This window comes from Homo sapiens, chromosome X (genome assembly GCF_000001405.40).
Source record: "Homo sapiens chromosome X, GRCh38.p14 Primary Assembly".
Taxonomy (NCBI): domain Eukaryota; kingdom Metazoa; phylum Chordata; class Mammalia; order Primates; family Hominidae; genus Homo; species Homo sapiens.
The window spans coordinates 55,022,545-55,043,705 of NC_000023.11; the positions used below are offsets into that span (position 1 = coordinate 55,022,545).

At 40.4% G+C, this 21,161-nt stretch overlaps 2 protein-coding genes across 5 annotated transcripts in view, besides 4 other annotated features; one reads left to right on the top strand and one right to left on the bottom strand.

Annotated features, from left to right (window-relative positions):
• Window positions 1-8,433, bottom strand: part of ALAS2 (5'-aminolevulinate synthase 2) — a 21,923-nt gene extending 13,490 nt beyond the window's left edge. Inside the window, exons 1-4 of one of the 3 annotated variants that reach the window (NM_000032.5) lie at window positions 8,398-8,433; window positions 3,276-3,471; window positions 2,174-2,296; window positions 1,213-1,323 (exon numbers count right to left, since the gene is read on the bottom strand). In NM_000032.5, the coding sequence (NP_000023.2) occupies window positions 1,213-1,323; window positions 2,174-2,296; window positions 3,276-3,456 (415 nt within the window). In that variant the 5' untranslated portion in view covers window positions 3,457-3,471; window positions 8,398-8,433. Of the gene's footprint in view, window positions 1-1,212; window positions 1,324-2,173; window positions 2,297-3,275; window positions 3,472-5,206; window positions 5,314-8,397 lie in introns of all 3 variants that reach the window. The other 2 variants (NM_001037968.4, NM_001037967.4) reach the window with 2 other exon arrangements.
• Window positions 1,213-2,192: a silencer, noted in NCBI's record as "pAp-I3(850)-LUC construct fragment". NCBI's record gives its function as "erythroid silencer in human K562 erythroleukemia cells {active_cell/tissue: K562}" and the evidence as "EXISTENCE:reporter gene assay evidence [ECO:0000049][PMID:9642238]".
• Window positions 1,213-8,438: a biological region, named in NCBI's record as "ALAS2 intron 1 and 3 erythroid regulatory elements". NCBI's record gives its function as "regulatory_interactions: ALAS2".
• Window positions 3,457-8,438: an enhancer, noted in NCBI's record as "pAp-I1(4.9kb)-LUC construct fragment". NCBI's record gives its function as "erythroid enhancer in human K562 and mouse MEL erythroid cells {active_cell/tissue: K562 | MEL}" and the evidence as "EXISTENCE:reporter gene assay evidence [ECO:0000049][PMID:9642238]".
• PAGE2B (PAGE family member 2B) overlaps window positions 5,573-21,161 on the top strand; it is a 50,793-nt gene continuing 35,204 nt past the window's right edge. The window contains exons 1-2 of one of the 2 annotated variants that reach the window (XM_011530785.3): window positions 5,573-5,791; window positions 7,063-7,128. In XM_011530785.3, the coding sequence (XP_011529087.1) occupies window positions 7,068-7,128 (61 nt within the window). In that variant the 5' untranslated portion in view covers window positions 5,573-5,791; window positions 7,063-7,067. Of the gene's footprint in view, window positions 5,792-7,062; window positions 7,129-8,358; window positions 8,432-21,161 lie in introns of those variants that run through there. The other variant, XM_011530786.4, reaches the window with a different exon arrangement.
• Window positions 5,650-5,669: a transcriptional cis regulatory region, noted in NCBI's record as "ALAS2 GATA1 binding motif range of bases targeted for CRISPR/Cas9 perturbation among clones A-1, A-2, A-4 and A-9". NCBI's record gives its function as "positively regulates ALAS2 gene expression in K562 erythroleukemia cells {active_cell/tissue: K562}" and the evidence as "EXISTENCE:mutant phenotype evidence [ECO:0000015][PMID:27044088]".

Sequence of the window (21,161 nt, forward strand, 5' to 3'; positions counted from 1 at the left end):
GTATGAGACTATGGATACCCTCCTTGATAACTGGTACAGCCATGTTGGAGGGCTAATTGACAAAATGTATTAATATCAAAAATGTACACATCCTTACATCCCAAGAATTTCCACCACTGAGTGTTTATCCTGGAGAAACACTTGCCTGTGTACACAAGGAGATACATTCAAGGATGTTTGTTGCACCACTGTTTGTAATAGAAAAAATTGGAAGCAACCAAATAGAGGAGTAGCCAAATAATCTCTATTATATCTATACTACAAAATATTTTGAAGCATTGAAAAATAAGGTAGATACATATGTGTTAAAGTGGAAGCATTTCCACAGTATATTGTTGAGTGAAAAAAGGGCACAGAGTAAAATATATAGCAAGATATTATTAGGTAAAAATAAAAATTGAAAAAAGTAATACTATACATTTTCTTTGAGTACATTTGTATGTATGTAAAACCAACCTACAATCTAAACTGAGAGAATACAAAAAATTGGAAACAACTTAAATTATAGATGCTTGATTAACTGAATGATATTGAATCCATACTATACCCATGACATATTTTTAAGTGAACAAAACAGCATAACGAACTCCAGGTAAAATAAGATCACACTTCTAACAAAAGCATGGGTGTGGTGAAGAGAGCAGAGGGTGTGTGTGTGTGTGTGTGTGTGTGTGTGTGTGTAGCCATAGAAAAATATCTGGGAGAAAATATAACAAAAACTTAATGGTGGAACTCTGCATGACTTAAATTTCCCTCCTTATACTTTCCTGTATATGTTGAAAAATATTTTACCATGAATCATATTCCTTTTACATTAGAAAATAATGTAAATGTCATTATGGAAAGGAATATAAACACATATAAGAATGGGGAAAAGGTGCTGTATGAAGGGTGAAAGTTTTTGAGGGAAGCATAGAGAAGAAATAATGGAAATAAGCCTAATATTTAATGAAGCCTCATTAGAAACACTTCCATAAATGTAATTTCACTTTCTTCTCATGGTAACCTATTGAGGTAGGTATTAAATGCCACTGAAGGAAAGTGTCTTACTTGCCAAAACACCTAGATCCAGCAAGTGCCAGCATTAAATTTTAAACTCAAATTTCCTTTGGTTCCAAGGCCCTTCTGTACTGTTTCCCCTACTGTGACAGAGGCCCTTTCAGAATGCCTTCCCTATTCCGGTCCCCTTTTTTTCCACCTCAGCAAACTCACCAGGCATATTGTTCTGAATCAGGTGTGTGACCTTCCCAGAGATCTGCTCCTGCTCCTGGGGACCGGAAAATGGCTTCCTTAGGCTGACTGAGACCAGGGAGCTAGGCAGATCTGAGACGGAATGTGAGATTCATTGGCCGTGAAGAGAATGGGGGAAAAAGAAAGCATGTGTTGTCCTCTTTAAGCTCAATGCAACACATGAAAATTCAAGTTTATAAGGTAAGGGCAGCTTCTACAGCGAGAAGAAATCTTCTCCAAGGTGAGCTTCTATTTATCCCCCCGAATGGAGACTATTACATTGTTAGGAAACCTTCTATAAGGTGAATCATACTTCTCTCCACTAGGATTTTCCCTTGGCTCAGGTAACTGGAGCAGCCACCCTGGGTCCTGCATTTAGAAAGTAGATGCAGGATAATGTACCTTACTCTTCTTTTCTAAACATCATTAAATTTCAATTTTGAAGTTTTTGTCCTTAATGATATCCCAAAGGGGCCTATGAAAGATGTCAACAGTGTGGCCATATCTCAAGGGTGATTATCTTGGGTGGTCTGCACTAATTAAGTTGACCTGGGGATCTGCACCCTGGTTAAAGGAGGTACCTACTCCCAGCTCTTTCTCTTTCATGCAAATCCATATTCTCATAGAGTGGTCTTGCTGAAATGTGGGACCCCAGCCTGTTGGGATCAGTTTAGCCACCTGAAAAAGAGGAGTCAAAATTCTAGAGGGCTCATCTTAGAATAATGACTAAAAGTTTCAGGAGCCCGTACATATGTGTTTGTCAGGTATGGTGTGCTTCAGCATACAGCCTAAACTGTTGCCTACCATGGCTCCCCTGGAAAGACTGGACTTCTCATCATGGGATGTGTACTGGCTGCTTTTGTATTAGCCTAGCTCAGGACTGTGACGTAGTGTGTTCAAGCATTAGGAGTAAAGGTTGCATAAGGTGGAACTTGACTCCAACCTGTCTTGAAAGCCTTCACATCTTCCTGGACTTCTGGGGCTGCCTTCTGCACAATCTTGCTCTTCCCATCCTGGAGTTCCGACAGCATGAAGGGACAGTGGCCCTTCGCCCAAGATGGAGAATCTATGCAAAGGTAAGAGAGTAATTTGGGGTGCATTTCTAGTCATAAGTTCAGCTCAACAATAATTGCTGAGATCTAATGTACCCCTAAAGCCCTATCTCAGGCTATTGTAGAGACACAGAGATAGATGAGTCTGGTCCCTGTGCTAGGGGAGCTACTAAACTGGTGGGAATGGCATACACTGAAGACACATTGTGAACAGTGCTGGGATAGAGGAAGTACATGGGCTACAGAAGTCCAGAAGAGGGAGGGGAAATGAGCCAGAATTGGAATTAGACAGTTTGGAGGTCTAAGCAGGCTTTGCAGAGGAGATGATGGCCAAGCTTAGTGTCAAATGAGAAGTATGAGATTCTCCAGTACAGGGTCTAGGAGAGGGTAATCTGACAGGAGCAAAGGCACAAACTCTTGACAGAATAGTTGATTTAGGCAATTTTAAGTAGTTTCAGCATGTCTGGAGTATAGTGTGTGAGGGACATGACAGTGAGACTGTTTCTTTTCTTTTCTTTTCTTTTCTTTGACAGATTCTCGCTCTGTTGCCCAGGCTGGAGTGCAGTGGCATGATCTTGGCTCACTGCAACCTCCGCCTCCTGGGTTCAAGCAATTCTCTGCCTCAGCCTCCCAAGCAGCTGGGATTACAGGCGCCCACCACCACTCCTGGCTAATTTTTTTATTTTTAGTAGATATGGGATTTCACCATCTTGGCCAGGGTGGTCTTGAACTCCTGACCTCGTGATCCACTCGCCTCGGCCTCCCAAAGTGCTGGGATTACAGGCGTGAGCCACTGTGCCTGGCCGAGAATGAGACTCTTTCTAGAGAACCTGGCAGAAGACAGATTCTGGGTATATTTTGGGGCCAGTTCATGCTATCTTGACACTTTTCACATGAACCGTCCTAATTATTAGGCAAAGATGGCCAGTATAACTTGGAACTTTTACCCCAGGACCCTAACATTCTCCCCTTTTGCTAGCAGCCTCTTCTTACCTCCTCCAGCCTTTGTTGCCTTAAGGTGGATTTGAGAACAGTTTGGTCCTTGGGTAGCCAGGATGGGACAGCGTCCAATACCAAACAGGAACTGGTGAGTCTTAACCACCTTGCCTAGGAGGCTTGTGGGGCCCCGGGCAAGCACTGGGCAGCACTGTAGCAGCATGGCTGCAGTCACCATCTTGAACCTAAAGTCCTGCAGAAGACATGGAAGAGATGAGGTTCCATCATGAGGGCCTGGCAAAAAGCCAAGCCTTTGATCCTCGTCTTCAGCTTCCCACCCAAAACTTGCTGCCTCCGAGATGCTCTTATTGCCCTTCCAGGGAAAGAACTTCTTTCCCAATGTTAACATGTACCAATAAAACATGAGGGAGGAAGAAATAGGAAACTGACTACTGGGCAAAGGGGTGAAGGAAACAGTTCTAACTGGAGGTCAGAAAGCCTGGATTCTGACTCACATTCTGGCACTGACTACCTCTGTGATGATGAGGATCACTGAAATGTGTTTTTGTGTGGCAGGATGAGAACTGCCAACCCACTAACCCTTTGATCAATACTTAAGGCCAAGAATCTTTCTAAGAATGTTGGTCTTAGCCAAGTGAAGATTCAGCCTGCTAATGCAAACATATGTCATTGAGTAGAGCTCCTGAGGCTTGGCCCAGGGTGTTTCCTAAGCAGGATCAGCCAGAGGGGAGAAGGAGCTTGAGGTCACATGTATCAGTTTAAGGAAATCAAGGGATCCGGAAGGAAGGGTAGGCCCTAGGTCCTACAGAATGTGTACCACCAGCCTGATATTATGCTGTCTTTGAATTTGCTCCTGTCTCTTGGATAAGCACAGATATAGGAAGAGGTGAAAGCAAGTCCCAGTGGGGCTGGAAAACAGGGACAAAGACATAGTCTATGGATTAGTGAAACAGGCAGAGGCCAAGACAGAGAAGAGAAAGGGGGCAAAGAGATCAGAAAAAGAGAAAGCAAATGACACACAGGCACTCAATAAATATTTGTTGAATTTTGGGGTAAATTGATGAATGAACAGAGTCTGAAATTGAGGAAGGAGAAGGGACTAGGAGAAAAGCCAGAAGAAAAGAAAATTTAGGAAAGATAAAAGGAGGAAAGTAGAGAGAGAACAAAGATGTGGTGGTGGTGGTAGAGTTAAAAGAACAGAAATTGAGGGGGAAAAAGAGATCAAAGGTAGAGGGAAAGGGAGCAGGGTAGAGATGAAAACAGAGATTGAGTCGAGAGAAAGAGAAAATGAAAAAAGAAAAAGGGGGTGGTGATAGTGCACACAGGGATAAAGGCAGAGACAGATAGACCAAGGGGCACGAAAGGGACATGAGGAGGGATCAATGAGTCTAGAGGATTATACAAAGATTCATAGAAGTGAGAACAGGAGTGGAGAGGATCCAGCAGGGGTAGAGAGTCAGTCAGACACAAACATAAAAAAATGCTGCCAGAAATTGCAAAAGGCTAAGTAAGTTTAGGGAAGAGAATCATGGCCCTAATTGAGGGAGATGAGAGAGAGACTGAGGGACAGAGAGAAGAGAGTAGAGAAAATGACAAGATCAAAGGATAGAGACAGAGAGGTGACTAAAGCAGGGGGATGAGGGTTAAGAGGGGTGAGAGCTGAGAGACACCAAGAGAAAGACAGCTAGAGAGAGCAAGAAGGAGAGACAGATGTAAAGAAAAAGGGCAAATTGGAAAGACAGAGTCAAAAAGTGAGACAAGATAAGGGACAGTACAATGGGAGAGACATGGGAGAATGTGAGAAGACTAAAGCACTGACACTGTGAAGAAAGTTACTGAGTAGAATCTACTAGCACCCTCAGCCTTATGTTTTGAGGGACAGGTCAGCTCATGGCCCTGCCCTCATATGGCAACCTCCTTCATCTCCCTCCCTTCCTGATCTCATAGAACAAGCACCCTCCCCGTACCTCACAAAACAACCTCTTTTTCTTGTTCCATCCCAGAGCAACCTCTCCCCCTCTCATGGGCTGTCACAGCAGCCTGGGTTGGTATGTGGGGCCAAGGCATGTGGGCCCTGAAATTGGAAAAGACAGAAGGGTTGTTGGAGGGACTAAATGAAACAATCCAAGTTAAGCCTTTAGTATAGTTTTTGGCACATAGTAAATCTTCAATAAATGTTAGCTTTTCTTATTAAAATTCCAGCTCTCCAATTTCATTGTTGGATGTTCTTGTTCAAATCACTTCCCCTCTCTGGATCTTGGCCTTCATCAGCTGTCAAACGTGAGGTAATTATGGCCACTTCACAAGGTAGGTAAGGAATTGGATCCAGTGCCTACCTCATATCTGGAGATATGTGTTTCCCTTCCCCTGCCTGCTTGTGAAAGCTAAAGCACTTGGGGCTGAGCCTGCAGACCACAGATAAAGTTGCCAGAGTTTATCGCCATTGGGGTCTGACCACTCCCCAAGCTGAGACCAGGGCGTGGGAGAGAAGAGGAGCCCCTTCCTGGAATCACGTCTGAGCATCTGGCTAGAGCTGGCCCTGGCTATTGGTGGTAAGAAATGGATGGCCCAGAAGTGCAGGCAAGGCAGATGACAAGGCTCCAGGCTCCTGTAAACTCCCCTAACATCAATACTGGCAACAATAATGCCAACAACATTGGGGTATGTAGTGGGAAGGAAAGCCCCCAATATTGGAGGCAAAGTCCAGTCCTGCCTTGGGATGGTGGAGAAGACCTACCTCCTGTATATAAAAACAGGAGAAATTAACACACATCATTACTAGGGGGCTTTTGGCCATGATATGCTCAGGGTCCTGGGAAAATATAGACCACTTCTTGGAATTTGTTGAATTCTCAAGTTCTTTCAAGCTCCTGTTCTCATTTCTCTTGTTCTGTTACTCCTTTCCTGAAATTTGCTCTGCCTCACTCTGCCTGGCCATCATTATACCCATGACCTTGTAGTCTAGTTACCATGGGCTCTGTTTCTATTCCATCTCATTACCTACCAAGAGACTAGAGTGAGTAAAATTGAATCAAGGAAGCATTTTAGTCAATTTAGGGTATAAAGAGTATAGGCTCTAGAGCCAAACTACTTGGGTTTGAATCCTGGCTCCACCACTCACTAGCTTTGGGACCTTAGAAAAGTCACTTCCCTGCTGTACATCTTATATCTGGAAAATGTTGGTAATAACAAGGACAATCTGCATCACAGGAATGTTGTGAAGATTCAGTAAGATAATCCATATAAAGCATTTAGCAGAGTACCTATCCCAGAGTAAACAGTAAAAAAGTGTTAAATATTATATTTAATTGATAGACTTTATTATTTTTATTTTCTCCATTTCCCATGTAGAAAAAATGAACGTACAGCCAAGGGAAGTCACATGAATATACCAGGCTGGGTTTGGGAAGCTAGAGAATTGATTCTTGTCCCAATCCTGTTACAATTTATTGTGTGAACTTGGGCTCTGTAATTCCCCTCTCTGGGCTTCCGTTTCTCCACTGACATTGGACTAGATAATTTCATAGATTCCGCCTAGTTCTGATAGTCAAACACTTACAGAGCCCTCTGTGCCAGGCCGTGTTCTCATGTCAACCCTGTGATGATAGGGAAACTGAATCCCAAAAAGATTAAGTAACCTGTCTAGATCAGAAAGCTAGTACATAGGAGAAGCAGGATTTGAACCTAGGCAATCTGTTTCCAGAGATTCCTAACTTAACCATTATGGATCTGTGATTCAAATATTACTACCTTTTTTTCTTGACTGAGGGCCTGACTCTAGACATTTATCTCCTCTGCTGCACTAACATAGGCCTCTTTCCAGGTCATATGCCATTTGTCACCAATGCCTTACCAAAGGAACAGATCTGTAACTACAGTGGAATTTCAGGTACTGTTGAATATTCATTTACTCTACCATTCAATAACTTATGTACCTAATGTGTGATAATGCTTGCCAGGCATCTTCTTAAAACAATACTTTTAACCAAAGAGATGATGGTGAAATTTGAGACCAAGTAACAGATCATTACTGAAAGTTTTTCCCTACGACTTTAAAATCCTCTCTTGTGTCAGCACCCAATCTGTACTCCCAGAGGTGAAAAGGGCCAACTGCAACTCTACCCCAGCAGACAGCCAGAAAACACTCATTGCAGCATTCCTTGTCCCCCACCCCCCCACCCCTTTTGTGGCCTGCTTTGCAAAAGTCAATTAGGTCTGGAAGGGAAGTGGTAATTTCTCTTCAGGAGTTGGAAACATCAGGCCTTACTTCTCTTCCTAGTACCCCTTTCCCACCATGAAAGAATCATACAGAACTTTAGATAACTGTAATCAGAGAATCAGAAATTCTTAGAAACAGGAAAATTTAGAAGATCACAAAATCAAAACTAGAAAGGGTGGTGGAAATTACAGGCCAAGCCTTTTTTTCAGAGAGTGAATGACTTGCCTAGGGTCTCACAGTGAATTAGGATGAGAATAGAAATCTGTTTACTTTCTGTATAGTGACACTACATTCCTCTTCCACTTTCTTCACTTATTTCTGCTAATTATTCATCTCTCAATTCCCCAAATCTCTCCTTACCCAATTCATCATTCCCATCACCCCCACATCCTCTTAGTTTCCCTCCCTAGCTCTTCCCCCACCCCTAGGCTCCCCATGGGCTCTGACCCACTGAGCTCTGCTGTCAGCCCAGCAGGTAGAGGGAGTCAAAGGGAGAGAGGAATGGGGAATTGCAGGAAGAAATATTAAGCCATCGTTCTTGATAGAGAGGAAGAGAGAGACAGAAACACAGAGACGGAGAGATACAAAGCCGAGGAAAGAGACAAAAAGGGGGAGAGAAAGAAATTTAGAGAAAAAGATAGTTAGAATTCAGAGGGAAAAATAAGAGAAAGCAAGAGTGTCAGAGAATGATGAAATGAAATGAATGATCTTGAAAACTAACAAAAGAAAGTAACGAAGGGAAAAAGAGAGAAAAAAGCTGAAAATGAGGAAAGACAGAAAGAGACATGGGAGATAAAAAGAAAATGAAAAAGAGACAGATTCTAAGAAACAAACAAAGGAAAAAGTCAGATCTACTCAGACCAGAGAGTCAGTGTGTACAGCCCTGAGAGACCAGCTGGCAGACCAGAGATAGGGTGCCAGGCTGAAAGCAGCTCTTACCTGTTGCCCTGCACTGAGGACGAACGAATGACAGGTGGGTACTTGGGTTAGGACCTGGCATTTATCCCTTCTCCTCTGACTCAGCCCCACCCACCCTGCCTTCTGCCGGCCTGGCCCTGCATTGGCCCCAAAGGTATCTCAGTCCCTTCCTTGCTAGAGATAAAACCCAAAGTAGCCCCTCCCTCTAGTGTACCCCCTCCCCCAGCTCTGGCTCTTCCCTATTTTCTTCTCTCTATAGGACAGTAAAATTAGCTCATTTGGGCTTTGGAATCAGACCATCCACATAGAGCTGGGATACCTTGAGCAAAACCACCTCTCTGACTATAGATCTCCTCAACTATAAAAGGAGGGCAATAAAACCCAGAAGTGACTGTGGCACAAGTTGGGAGGGCTCTGGAGTCAGACCTAGAATACAGTGTTGTGCTTATGAGCTCAAACAGTCAGCTTCCACAGACTAGATCCCCGGTTGTTGTAACAATTTGGTAATATCATGTATGGAAAACGCATACCACAGTGCCTGGCCCAAATAAATAACACCTACTGTTGACTGAGTGCTTACAATGCACCAGACCCTTCACTAAGTGCTTTACATGAATTAATTTAGCCACATAAGGACCTTAAAAGATAGGTACTATTATCCCTATGTTACAGATGAAGAAACTGAGGCTCAGAGAGGTGAGGTAACTTGTTGATAATTACCCAACTAGAAAGTACAGAGCCCGCCTATGAACCTAGGCAATGTAGTTACAGAACCCACACTCTTCTCTTCCTCTCATAATATACAATTAAAAATGTGAAGTTCTCTGTCTTATCTTTTCTATTACCTTCTCCTCCCTTTTTCATTTTCTTCCCCTTTTGTCACTCTCTTTTTCCCCTTCCCTTATCAATCCTAAGGCAGCAGGACCATGTTATAACCAGACAATTTCATCTTTAGAGCAGATTGTCATCATTAATATTATATTTACATAAATAAGACCATAGTCTACATATTGATTTGCAATTTCTTTTTTTTGTTTGTTTTTCATTCAACCATATGCCAATATACCATGGAGGTTACAAAATCTGAATGCACTGTAATTTATTTAAACACTCCCTTATTGATATAAATTTAGGTTATTCCCAAGGATTTTCCCCCCTCCATTATGATTAATGTTGCAATGAACATCTTTTGGCATTTGTGAGAGCATTTTTTTAGAGGGTGGCATCCTAAAATATAAGCATTCCTGGATCTAAAGGTAATAGACATTTAAAGTTTTTGATACTGCCAATTTGTCCTATACATGTGTTATACACCCCTCCCCACCCAGTGGTGTATAAGAGTAAATGTGTATCTATTTTCTCACAAACTCACCAATACCATTTGTTATTTTCAATTTTTAAAATATTTGTTAATCTTATAGGCACTAAAAATGGTATATCAGTGTTGCTTTGATTTGCTTTTCTTTCATTATTAATGAGATTGGGTGTCTTTTCATGTTTCTTTATCAGTTGTCTATTTCTCTTCTGAGTGGTCTACTTTTTGCCCATTTTGGGGGTGGGTTGGCAGTAAAATATAGTGGACTAAAAGCATGCACTCTGGAGTCAGACTCACCCAAGTCACCAAGTCACCAACACCTTAGCTATTTGGTTCACTTATCTCCAGATCTCTCATATATAAAATGGGACAGTCATAGAACCTACCCTATTGGATTATTGTGAGGATGAGATGAGAAGAACTTTGAATAATATTAATATTAACTCCTTTTCTGTGATATTTGCTGCTTCATCTGGATTAATTTATTAATTCAACAAATGTTTATTGAGTGCCTATAGCATGTCAGGTGTGGTGCTAGGTAGTGGAGATGCAGTGGCATGTAAATTGGAGAGTATGGGTATAGCATGGTGTATTTAACCATTTTTAAAACTAAAGATTAATTCCAGTTCTTCTAGAAGGTATTTCAAATGCAGCTGCAATAACCTTGACCTCCAACTCTTTAGCTGGCTAACCATTTGTCACTTTGAAAAGTGAGCTCAAAGGTCATCACTTCTGGGAGGCCCTTTTAAACCCCCACACTGGATCTTGTTCCCTCTTCTGGGCCCCCACATCTTCTCTCTCAGAATTTATCACACTGTACTACTGGCACCTTGTCTTATGTCTTCCTCCCACATCAGACCTTGAGCAACTTGCTGACAGGAATCTGGAACCATTGACTAGGGGGGCTGTCAGAAATGCCTGTTGCATTCAGATGCATTTCCTCCGTTCTTTCTACTCTGTTCTGCCTGTACCCAGAAAAGGAACTGGAAGAATAAAATCTACTGAGGTTAACAAACCTCTGAGGTGACGTAGAGAAAAACTCGAAGTGCCCTAATGGAGGAAAGTGTGTGGGACTTCCCAGGTCATTGGGAAGGATACTTAGGTGGTGCCTCTCTGTACTATTCCTGGTCCAGCTGAGCCCGTGAGTGTAGGTGGCTGTGGTTGTGCCTGATATCTCCTCTCCTTTAGAGGAAAATGTCTCATTTTCTCTTTGGGTGGTGGTTGTGTGATTCTCACCTTTTTATGAGGCAATGTAGTCTGGAGGGAGAAGTAAGTTTCAGTCCCATATGCTCATGTAGCGTGTCCAAAGGAAACACTTTCCTGGCCCTTCTCTACATAGTCCCCTCTCTCTCTCTGCATTGATTTGTTCTGTGTCTTGGCTGACTTCCTACCCATGTGGGAATTCCTCTGGAATCAGAGTCTAGGTCTGATTCATTTCTGCAACCCCAGTGTCAACCTGACAATAAGTAACTATTCAGACAATGTTTGATTGAATAGACTTCGGTGACTTAGGAGTTTCAACTTTTTACTTTGCAGTTGCACTGCAGTAGACATCATGGTACTTAAAGTTTTCTCTGCATCTTAGGTTATTTTCTTAGCATAGATTTTCTAAAAGTTTATTTATAAACCATAAAACTCACCCATTTTAAATGTGTAATTCAATGATTATTAGTATATTTACAGAACTGTGCAACCATCACCACAAATATTAGTATTGATTTTTAGTAATGGGATTATTCGACCAAAGGATATGGATCTTTTAAAGATTTTTTCCTACATTTTATCCAATATCTCTGTAAAAGGTTGTCCCAGTTAACGATAGTCTCAACCACTTGTGATGAGTGGGGATTAAGGAAGACATACAGGCTTTGTTGGGTTACTTCCTGAAGGGTTGGTCTCACTATCAGCATCTCTCTCCTTCATTAGCTATATCCCTTACCCACATTCTGGAATGAAACTCAGAGAGTAGCATGATAGCTATGTCCCAGACGTGCTGTGGTTTCTTCTTCATGTAAGATTGGTCTATAGTTTCCATTTTAATTTAAATAACACATCTGTTCTTGTAAGTTTTGGTAATACCAGCCAATATAATTATTTGCCCTAATACCATTTGGTGATGGTAGCTGGGTTGTTCTTAGACAGCTTTTCCAATGGTTTCCATGATAATTTGTTTATACGTTTTTTAAAAAACTTCTTCCCATATCAATTTTAGTAATCAATATTTTTCAAAATATCATAGAGTAATACAGAGAATTCTCTTATCATTTTTGGTTAGGTATAAAATTCCAAAGTCCAGTTTTTCACCCCTCAGAGTGTTATAAATATTATTTCATTGTTTAATAACACTTATAATTAGAGCTAAAATGTTCAATGTCAGGCTCATACTCTTCCTTTTATAAGTAATCTATATGCTTAGTAGGAATATCTTCCTATTAGGAGAATTAAAAAAGGTCCTGGTATATTAGTCAGGGTTCTCTAGAGGGACAGAACTAATAGGAGACACACACACACACACACACGTGAGTTTATATATAACTCTCATATACATACATATATATATTTATGTATATATATACATGTATATATATATGGGAGTTATTAAGTAGTATTAATTCACATGATCACAAGGTCCCACAATAGGCCAGCTGCAAGCCGAGGAGCAACGAAGCCAGTCTGAGTCCCAAAGCTGAAGAACTTGGAGTCCAATGTTCAAGGGCAGGAAGCATGCAGCATGGGAGAAGGATGTAGGCTGGGAGGCTAAGCCAGTCTAGCCTTTTCATGTTTTTCTGCCTGCTTTATATTTGCTGGCAGCCAATTAGATGATACCCACCCAGGTTAAGGGTGGGTTTGCCTTCCCCAGCCCACTTACTCAAATGTTAATCTCCTTTGGGCAACACCCTCACAGACATACCCAAAATCAATACTTTGCATCCTTCAATCCAATCAAGTTGACACTCGATATTAACCATCACACCTGGCATATATCTTAATACAGCTAGTAACTATTTATAGTTTTTGTCTTTTGGTAAAGAAGAATGTGTTTTCTTTCTCAATCCCCTATTCAGCAGGCAGAGAAAGCAATATGAGCAAAAGGAAAAAAGTTTAAAAGTCCCTAAGGTATTTCAGGAAACACTACAGAGCACAGATGATATTTTAAATGGGTTATGAAGCATGAGTTTACTGGATAAAGCACAGGGAAAGGGGCAATCCAGGCAGAGGGTACAATATCAACAAAATCAGGGAGGTCTTAAGATGTTTACTGCATTTCAGGAACAGTGAGTTTTGTAGATGTTGAGGGAGGAGGAAGAGTCTGGAATTACTTGCTCCGTCACTTTATGGAAGATGAGATCTCATCCTGGTACTTGGTTCTTCTAAATGTTACTGCAAGAATGAACAGTGATTAAGAACATCAGCCCTCGAGCCAGATTAACTGGGTTCTGCCATTTATTAACTGTGTGAACTTTGGGAGGTTATTTCACCTGTCTGAATTTCAGTTTCCTTGTCTGTAATATGAAGATACTGATAATATCTACTTTATAGTGTTTTTATGAAGTGTAAAAGAGTGAATCTGTTTAAAGTAGTTTTTTCCAATTCTGTGAAGAAAGTCATTGGTAGCTTGATGGGGATGGCATTGAATCTATAAATTACCTTGGGCAGTATGGCCATTTTCACGATATTGATTCTTCCTACCCATTAGCATGGAATGTTCTTCCATTTGTTTTTATCCTCTTTTATTTCCTTGAGCAGTGGTTTGTAGTTCTCCTTGAAGAAGTCCTTCACATCCCTTGTAAGCTGGATTCCTAGGTATTTTATTCTCTTTGAAGCAATTGTGAATGGGAGTTCACTCATGATTTGGCTCTCTGTTTGTCTGTTATTTGTGTATAAGAATGCTTGTGATTTTTACACATTGCTTTTGTATTCTGAGACTTTGCTGAAGTTGCCTATCAGCTTAAGGAGATTTTGGGCTGAGACAATGGGGTTTTCTAGATATACAATCATGTCATCTGCAAACAGGGACAATTTAACTTCCTCTTTTCCTAATTGAATGCCCTTTATTTCCTTCTCCTGCCTGATTGCCCTGGCCAGAACTTCCAACACTATGTTGAATAGGAGTGGTGAGAGAGGGCATCCCTGTCTTGTGCCAGTTTTCAAAGGGAATGCTTCCAGTTTTTGTCCATTCAGTATGATACTGGCTGTGGGTTTGTCATAGATAGCTCTTATTATTTTGAGATACATCCCATCAATACCTAATTTATTGAGAGTTTTTAGCATGAAGGGTTGTTGAATTTTGTCAAAGGCCTTTTCTGCATCTATTGAGAAAGTTCATATGGAACCAAAAAAGAGCCCGCATTGCCAAGTCAATCCTAAGCCAAAAGAACAAAACTGGAAGCATCACGCTACCTGACTTCAAACTATACTACAAGGCTACAGTAACCAAAACAGCATGGTACTGGTACCAAAACAGAGATATAGATCAATGGAACAGAACAGAGCCCTCAGAAATAATGCTGTATATCTACAACCATCTGATCTTTGACAAACCTGACAAAAACAAGCAATGGGGAAAGGATTCCCTATTTAATAAATGGTGCTGGGAAAACTGGCTAGCCATATGTAGAAAGCTGAAACTGGATCCCTTCCTTACACCTTATACAAAAATTAATTCAAGATGGATTAAAGACTTACATGTTAGACCTAAAACCATAAAAACCCTAGAAGAAAACCTAGGCAATACCATTCAGGACATAGGCATGGGCAAGGACTTCATGTCTAAAACACCAAAAGCAATGGCAACAAAAGCCAAAACAGACAAATGGGATCTAATTAAACTAAAGAGCTTCTGCACAGCAAAAGAAACTACCATCAGGGCGAACAGGCAACCTACAGAATGGGAGAAAATTTTTGCAATCTACTCATCTGACAAAGGGCTAATATCCAGAATCTACAATGAACTCAAACAAATTGACAAGAAAAAAACAAACAACCCCATCAAAAAGTGGGCAAAGGATATGAACAGACACTTCTCAAAAGAAGACATTTATGCAGCCAAAAGACATATGAAAAAATGCTCATCATCACTGGCCATCAGAGAAATGCAAATCAAAACCACAATGGGATACCATCTCACACCAGTTAGAATGGCAATCATTAAAAAGTCAGGAAACAACAGGTGCTGGAGAGGATGTGGAGAAATAGGAACACTTTTACACTGTTGGTGGGACTGGAAACTAGTTCAACCATTGTGGAAGTCAGTGTGGCGATTCCTCAGGGATCTAGAACTAGAAATACCATTTGACCCAGCAATCCCATTACTGGGTATATACCCAAAGGATTATAAATGATGCTGCTATAAAGACACATGCGCATGTATGTTTATTGCGGCACTATTCACAATAGCAAAGACTTGGAACCAACCCAAATGTCCAACAATGATAGACTGGATGAAGAAAATGTGGCACATATACACTATGGAATACTATGCAGCCATAAAAAAGGATGAGTTCATTTCTTTGTAGGGACATGGATGAAGCTGGAAACCATCATTCTTAGCAAACTATCACAAGGACAAAAAACCAAACACCGCATGTTCTCACTCATAGGTGGGAATTGAACAATGAGAACACATGGACACAGGAAGGGGAACATCACACACTGGGGCCTGTTGTGGGGTGGGGGGAGGGGGGAGGGATAGCATTAGGAGATATACTTAATGCTAAATGATGAGTTAATGGGTGCAGCACACCAACATGGCACATGTATACATATGTAACAAACCTGCACATTGTGCACATGTACCCTAAAACTTAAAGTATATTAATAAAAAATAAAAATAAAAAAAAGAAAAACTGCAAGATGAAAACTGTCAACAAATTCCATCCACATCCTCCCCTATCCCCAGCAAATCCCTCCCTGCCCCACCACCCAAGAAAACCTGGAAAGAAAAAAGCTTATCCAATTCTGCTCTCTACCCATATAATTCACATATTCATAATATGTAAAAAAAATTTTGCCTTTCCCCATTTAATAAATGATGCGTGATATTTACTTTATGCCTAAAAAAGCATCATTTGTCAATAAAGAAATTTTTAAAGCACCCATCCTATATGAGTTGGCAGCTGATTAGGTTAAACTGGCTGGATTAAAAACATCACTGGACTCAACAAGTTATAAAATGTGAATATGTTCGTTATATTTACTCTCAATAAAATGATAGGCTCAACACTGTTAGACCTAGCATATATTTACTGAGATACTATGTTTTTGGAAATAATCAAATTGTCAACTTACACTTGTTGATAACTTTTAAATGGGGAAGTTTAAATAGGGACTTGTATGAATGGCACATGAGGGTTTAGCTGTCTCTTACTTTCAATCAGTGAAATTGACCTATCCTTGAAGAGGCAGGTATAAATAAATAAGATGATGGAGTTGAATTTTCTGAAGTTTTTGTAATTTCATAATTTACTAGGTATGATGCTTCAAATGCATTTAGATCCAATATTAGATATTTAATATTCTTATATTTAGTATTTTAAAATTAGATATTTTATGGTTAGAAGTTTGTTGTACTAGTTCATGTGTGAGTTGATGGTAACCTGGAATAAGGAGGTAGCACTGACGTCAAATAAAATATAGAGACAAATCTCTGAGATTAAAACTTTTAATTTGGGAAGAAAGAATTGCAATTTGGAGTATACAGGCAGACCAGGTGTTCTTCAGTATGTCCAAAGAACAAAGAGAAATTTAGAGGTTTTATTTAAAAATAGAAATACTACACATTGCTCTTTGAGACAGTACATTGGCACTAGTAAGATTTTTGGGGAGGTGGCAAGCTCTTATTGTTGAGTGGTCGTAGTAGGTAAAAGTTGCAGCAGGCTGTTTCAGTAGCCATGAGATAAAACTGCTTTCAGGTTACAGCACGCAGTTTCAGCAGCCAGGCTTGCAGAGAATTATATTTTTGGAGCAATGTTATGTGCCCTGAGTGATTTTCCCCCCCTGGCTTCTTGACTCTGTTTTAGTTGGGTATGACAAGAATGACCCAATTCATATAATCAGCTTTCACAGTAGCGATGAAGATGGACAGAAGTGAATGGAACTGAGATATATTTAAAAGTAATGTCTGCAGCATTAGTCAAAATAGCCAAAAGGTGGAAACAACCCAAATGTCCATTGAAGGATAAATGGATAAACAAAATGTGGTATATACATACCAAAGAATACTGTTCAGCCTTGAAAAGGAAGAAAATTCTTTTTTTTTTTTTTTTAAACCACAGGCCTCCAGATTGGGCCACTAAAATTACTAGTTTATTTAGTGAAGAAACCCTAATGGTATTTTTTTAACCCTGAAAACAAGCATTTCCAGTTCTTTGCTGATGCCACATTTTTCTGAGATGAATGTTATTGTTACATGCTACTGTTACTATTTATGGTGCCCGGAGCAGTGTGGATTCTTTGCAAATATTATTATCTTGTCGATTTCTCATGGGATTTTGCAAATACTGCTTTTCCAGAAGAGGAAACCTGGTCTTAGAGAACTGAGTCACTGCCTAAGGTCACATAGACAGTGTGGGCCAGGCTGGGATTCAGCCCGGGGCTGGCCCATGTCCTTGTTCTTTTCAATAGCTTCTTCACTGTCACTTGCTTATTGCTTTCCATTTGCCAATGGACCATGCTTTATGACGTAGGAATTTGTGTTTTTGTTTAAAAGCATCAGGAAAATAATAAAAAAATTGAAAATATAGCTTAAGTATATTACGTATTAAACAAAACACCACTACTGTCAATTCACTTAAAGGAACTCAATATTTTCTTTTTTTTTTTTTGAAGAGATCATAAACCAGAGGCGGATTTTAATCTATTTTTAAAATTTTGGATCAGGATATGTCTACTTTAGCTACTTCTCTCTTTTTTTTAATTATTATTATACTTTAAGTTCTAGGGTACATGTGCACAACGTGCAACTTTGTTACATATGTATACATGTGCCATGTTGGTGTGCTGCACCATTAACTCGTCATTTACATTAGGAATATCTCCTAATGCTATTCCTCCCCCCTCCCCCACCCCACGACAGGCCCCGGGGTGTGATGTTCCCCACCCTGTGTCCAAGTGTTCTCATTGTTCAATCCCCACCTATGAGTGAGAACATGCAGTCTTTGGTTTTCTGTCCTTGTGATAGTTTGCTCAGAATGATGGTTTCCAGCTTCATCCATGTCCCTACAAAGGGCATGAACTCATCCAAAAAGGAAGAAAATTCTGACACATGCTACAACATGGATGAATCTTAAAAGCATTATGCTATGTGAAATAAGCCAGTCACAAAGGATGAACATTGTATGATTCCACTTACATAAGTTAGGTACTTAGAGCAATCAGATTCATAGAGATAGAAAGAATGGTGGTTGTCAGGGGCGGGGCGGTGGGGAGAATGGAAGTTACTGTTTAAGGATACAGAGTTTCCATTTGGGAAGATGAAAAAGTTCTAGAGATAGATGATTATGATAGTTGTACAACAATGTGATTGTTCTTAACCACTCAACTAACTATATTTAAATATGGTAAATTTTATGTTAAGTATATTTTACCATGACTAAAAAGAATAATCAACAAAACCTATATAAAATGCTGTAAGGTTTGCTTGCGTTCTTCCCCCAAATCTGAACCTGATCTCTGATAGGTCTGACCTTCTATAGTACTTTAGCTGTATCTATTTAACTACCTTTAGTTTCTACATTGTGAAATGGTATTTAATGCTATTTACCTATTCAGACTGGCAGCATCTCTGGTAGAACTTAATCTCCCATACAGTGTTACACTTAGCATTAGTAGGTGTTCAATAATTCTTTTTTTTTTTTTTTTTTTTTGAGACGGAGTCTTTCTCTGTCGCCCAGGCTGGAGTGCAGTGGTGTGATCTCGGCTCACTGCAGTCTCCACCTCCCGGGTTCATGCCATTCTCCTGCCTCAGCCTCCTGAGTAGCTGGGACTACAGGCGCCTGCCACCATGCCCGGCTAATTTTTTATGTTTTTAGCAGAGACGGGATTTCACCATGTTAGCCAGGATGGTCTCGATCTCCTGACCTCGTGATCCGCCCCCATCAGCCTCCCAAAGTGCTGGGATTACAGGCGTGAGCCACCGTGCCCGGCCTCAATAATTCTTATTGAAATACAAAGGCTAAAAATACTGGTTTATTTTTATAATTTCCAATTTTTTCCTAATAATATACAAGTTAAAAGGTTAAGCTGGTATTTTATTTCTTTGTTTCGTTGTTGTTGTTGCTGTTGTTTGACAGTTGGCAGAGCTAGCTGAGGTTTTATTTTGGAAAAAACCCAACTGAATTGTTTTGTAGCTGAAGGCATGGGCAAGGCAAGTACCCCAGGCAGTAAACTGCCCCTACATGTGGGCTGAGGGCTAGGGCTGAGCCTCTGGTGGGTCTCCTGTCCCCTATGCTCCCCCACACAGTGGTCTCCCCCACAGGCTCTGGGGCAGCCACAGTAGGGGTAGGCTGGGAGCGGCTGCCGTGGCGGTTCACATCGGCAGGACATCAGAGGACTCAGACACCAGCTTCCCATCACGGGTTTCAATCTTCTTCACAACCATGGCCCTGGAGGAGCAGGTGCAGCTGAAGGAGCTCAGACCCGGCAGCAAAATTGGCATAGAAGGGATGTAACTTAAGGTAATAAAAGCCATCTATGATAGATCCACAGCCAACATTATACTGAATGGGGAAAAGTTGAAAACATTACCCTGAGAACTGGAACAAGACAAGGATGCCCACTTTCGCCACTTCTATTCAACATAGTACTGGAAGTCCTAGCCAGAGCAATCAAATAAGAAAAAGAAATAAACGGCATCAAAATCAGTAAAGAGGACATCAAACAGTCACTGTTTGCTGATGATATGATCCTATACCTAGAAAACCCTACTAACTCCTCCAAAAATCTCCTAGGATTGATAAATGAATTCAGCAAAGTTTCAGGATACAAAATTAATGTACACAAATCAGTAGCTCTGCTATACACCAACAGCGACCAAGCTGAGAATCAAATCAAGAATGCAACCCCTTTTACAACAGTTGCAAAAAATAAAATAAAATAATTAGGAATATACCTAATCAAGAAGGTAAAATACCTCTACAAGGAAAACTATAAAACACTGCTGAAAGAAATCATAGACTTTGGGAGGCCGAGGTGGGCGGATCACGAGGTCAGGAGATCGAGACCATCCTGGCTAAAGCGGTGAAACCCCGTCTCTACTAAAAATACAAAAAATTAGCCGGGCGTAGTGGCGGGCGCCTGTAGTCCCAGCTACTTGGGAGGCTGAGGCAGGAGAATGGTGTGAACCCAGGAGGCGGAGCTTGCAGTGAGCCGAGATCCCGCCACTGCACTCCAGCCTGGGCGACAGAGCGAGACTCCGTCTCAAAAAAAAAAAAAAAAAAAAAAAAAAAAAAAAAAGAAATCATAGAAACACAAACAAATGGAAACACATCACATGCTTATGAATGGGTAGAATCAATATTGTGAAAATTTCCATACTGCCAAATGCAATCTACAAATTTAATGCAATTCCCATAAAAATACCATCATCATTCTTCACAGAACTAGAAAAAACAATCCTAAAATTCATATGGAACAAAAAGGAGTCCACATAGCCAAGGCAAGATTAAGCAAAAAGAACAAATCTGGAAGCATTATATTACCTGACTTCAAACTATCCTATAAGGCCATGGTCATCAAAACATGGTACTGGTATAAAAATAGGCATATATATCAATGGAACAGAACAGAGAACCCAGAAATAAAGCCAAATACTTAGAGTCAACTGACCTTTAACAAAGCAAACAAAAACATAAAGTAGGGAAAGGACATCCTATTCAATAAATGTTGCTGGAATAATTGGCGAGCCACATGTAGGAGAATAAAACTGGGTCCTCATCTCTCACGTTATACAAAAATCAACTCAAGATAGGACTTAAATCTAAGACCTGAAACCATAAAAATTGTACAAGATAACATGAGGAAAACTCTTCTAGACATTGGCTTAGGCAAAGACTTCATGACCAAGTGCCCAAAAGCAAACATGACAAAAACAAAGATAAATAGATGCAACTTAATTAAACTAAAAAGTTTCTGCTCAGCAAAGGAAATAATCAGCAGAGTAAATAGACAATCCACAGAGTGGGAGAAAATCTTCACAATCTACACATTCGACAAAGGACTAATATCCAGAATCTACAGGGTCCTCAAACAAATCAGCAAGAAAAAAAAAAATCCCATCCGAAAGTATTGTCCATAAATAGAAAGTTCTCAAAAGAAGATATATAAATGGCCAACAAACATATGAAGAAATGCTCAACATCACTAATTATCAGATAAATGCAAATCAAAACCACAATGTGATACCACCTTACTCCTGCAGAATGGCCATAATTTTAAAAATCAAAAAATAATAGGGCCGGGCGCAGTGGCTCTT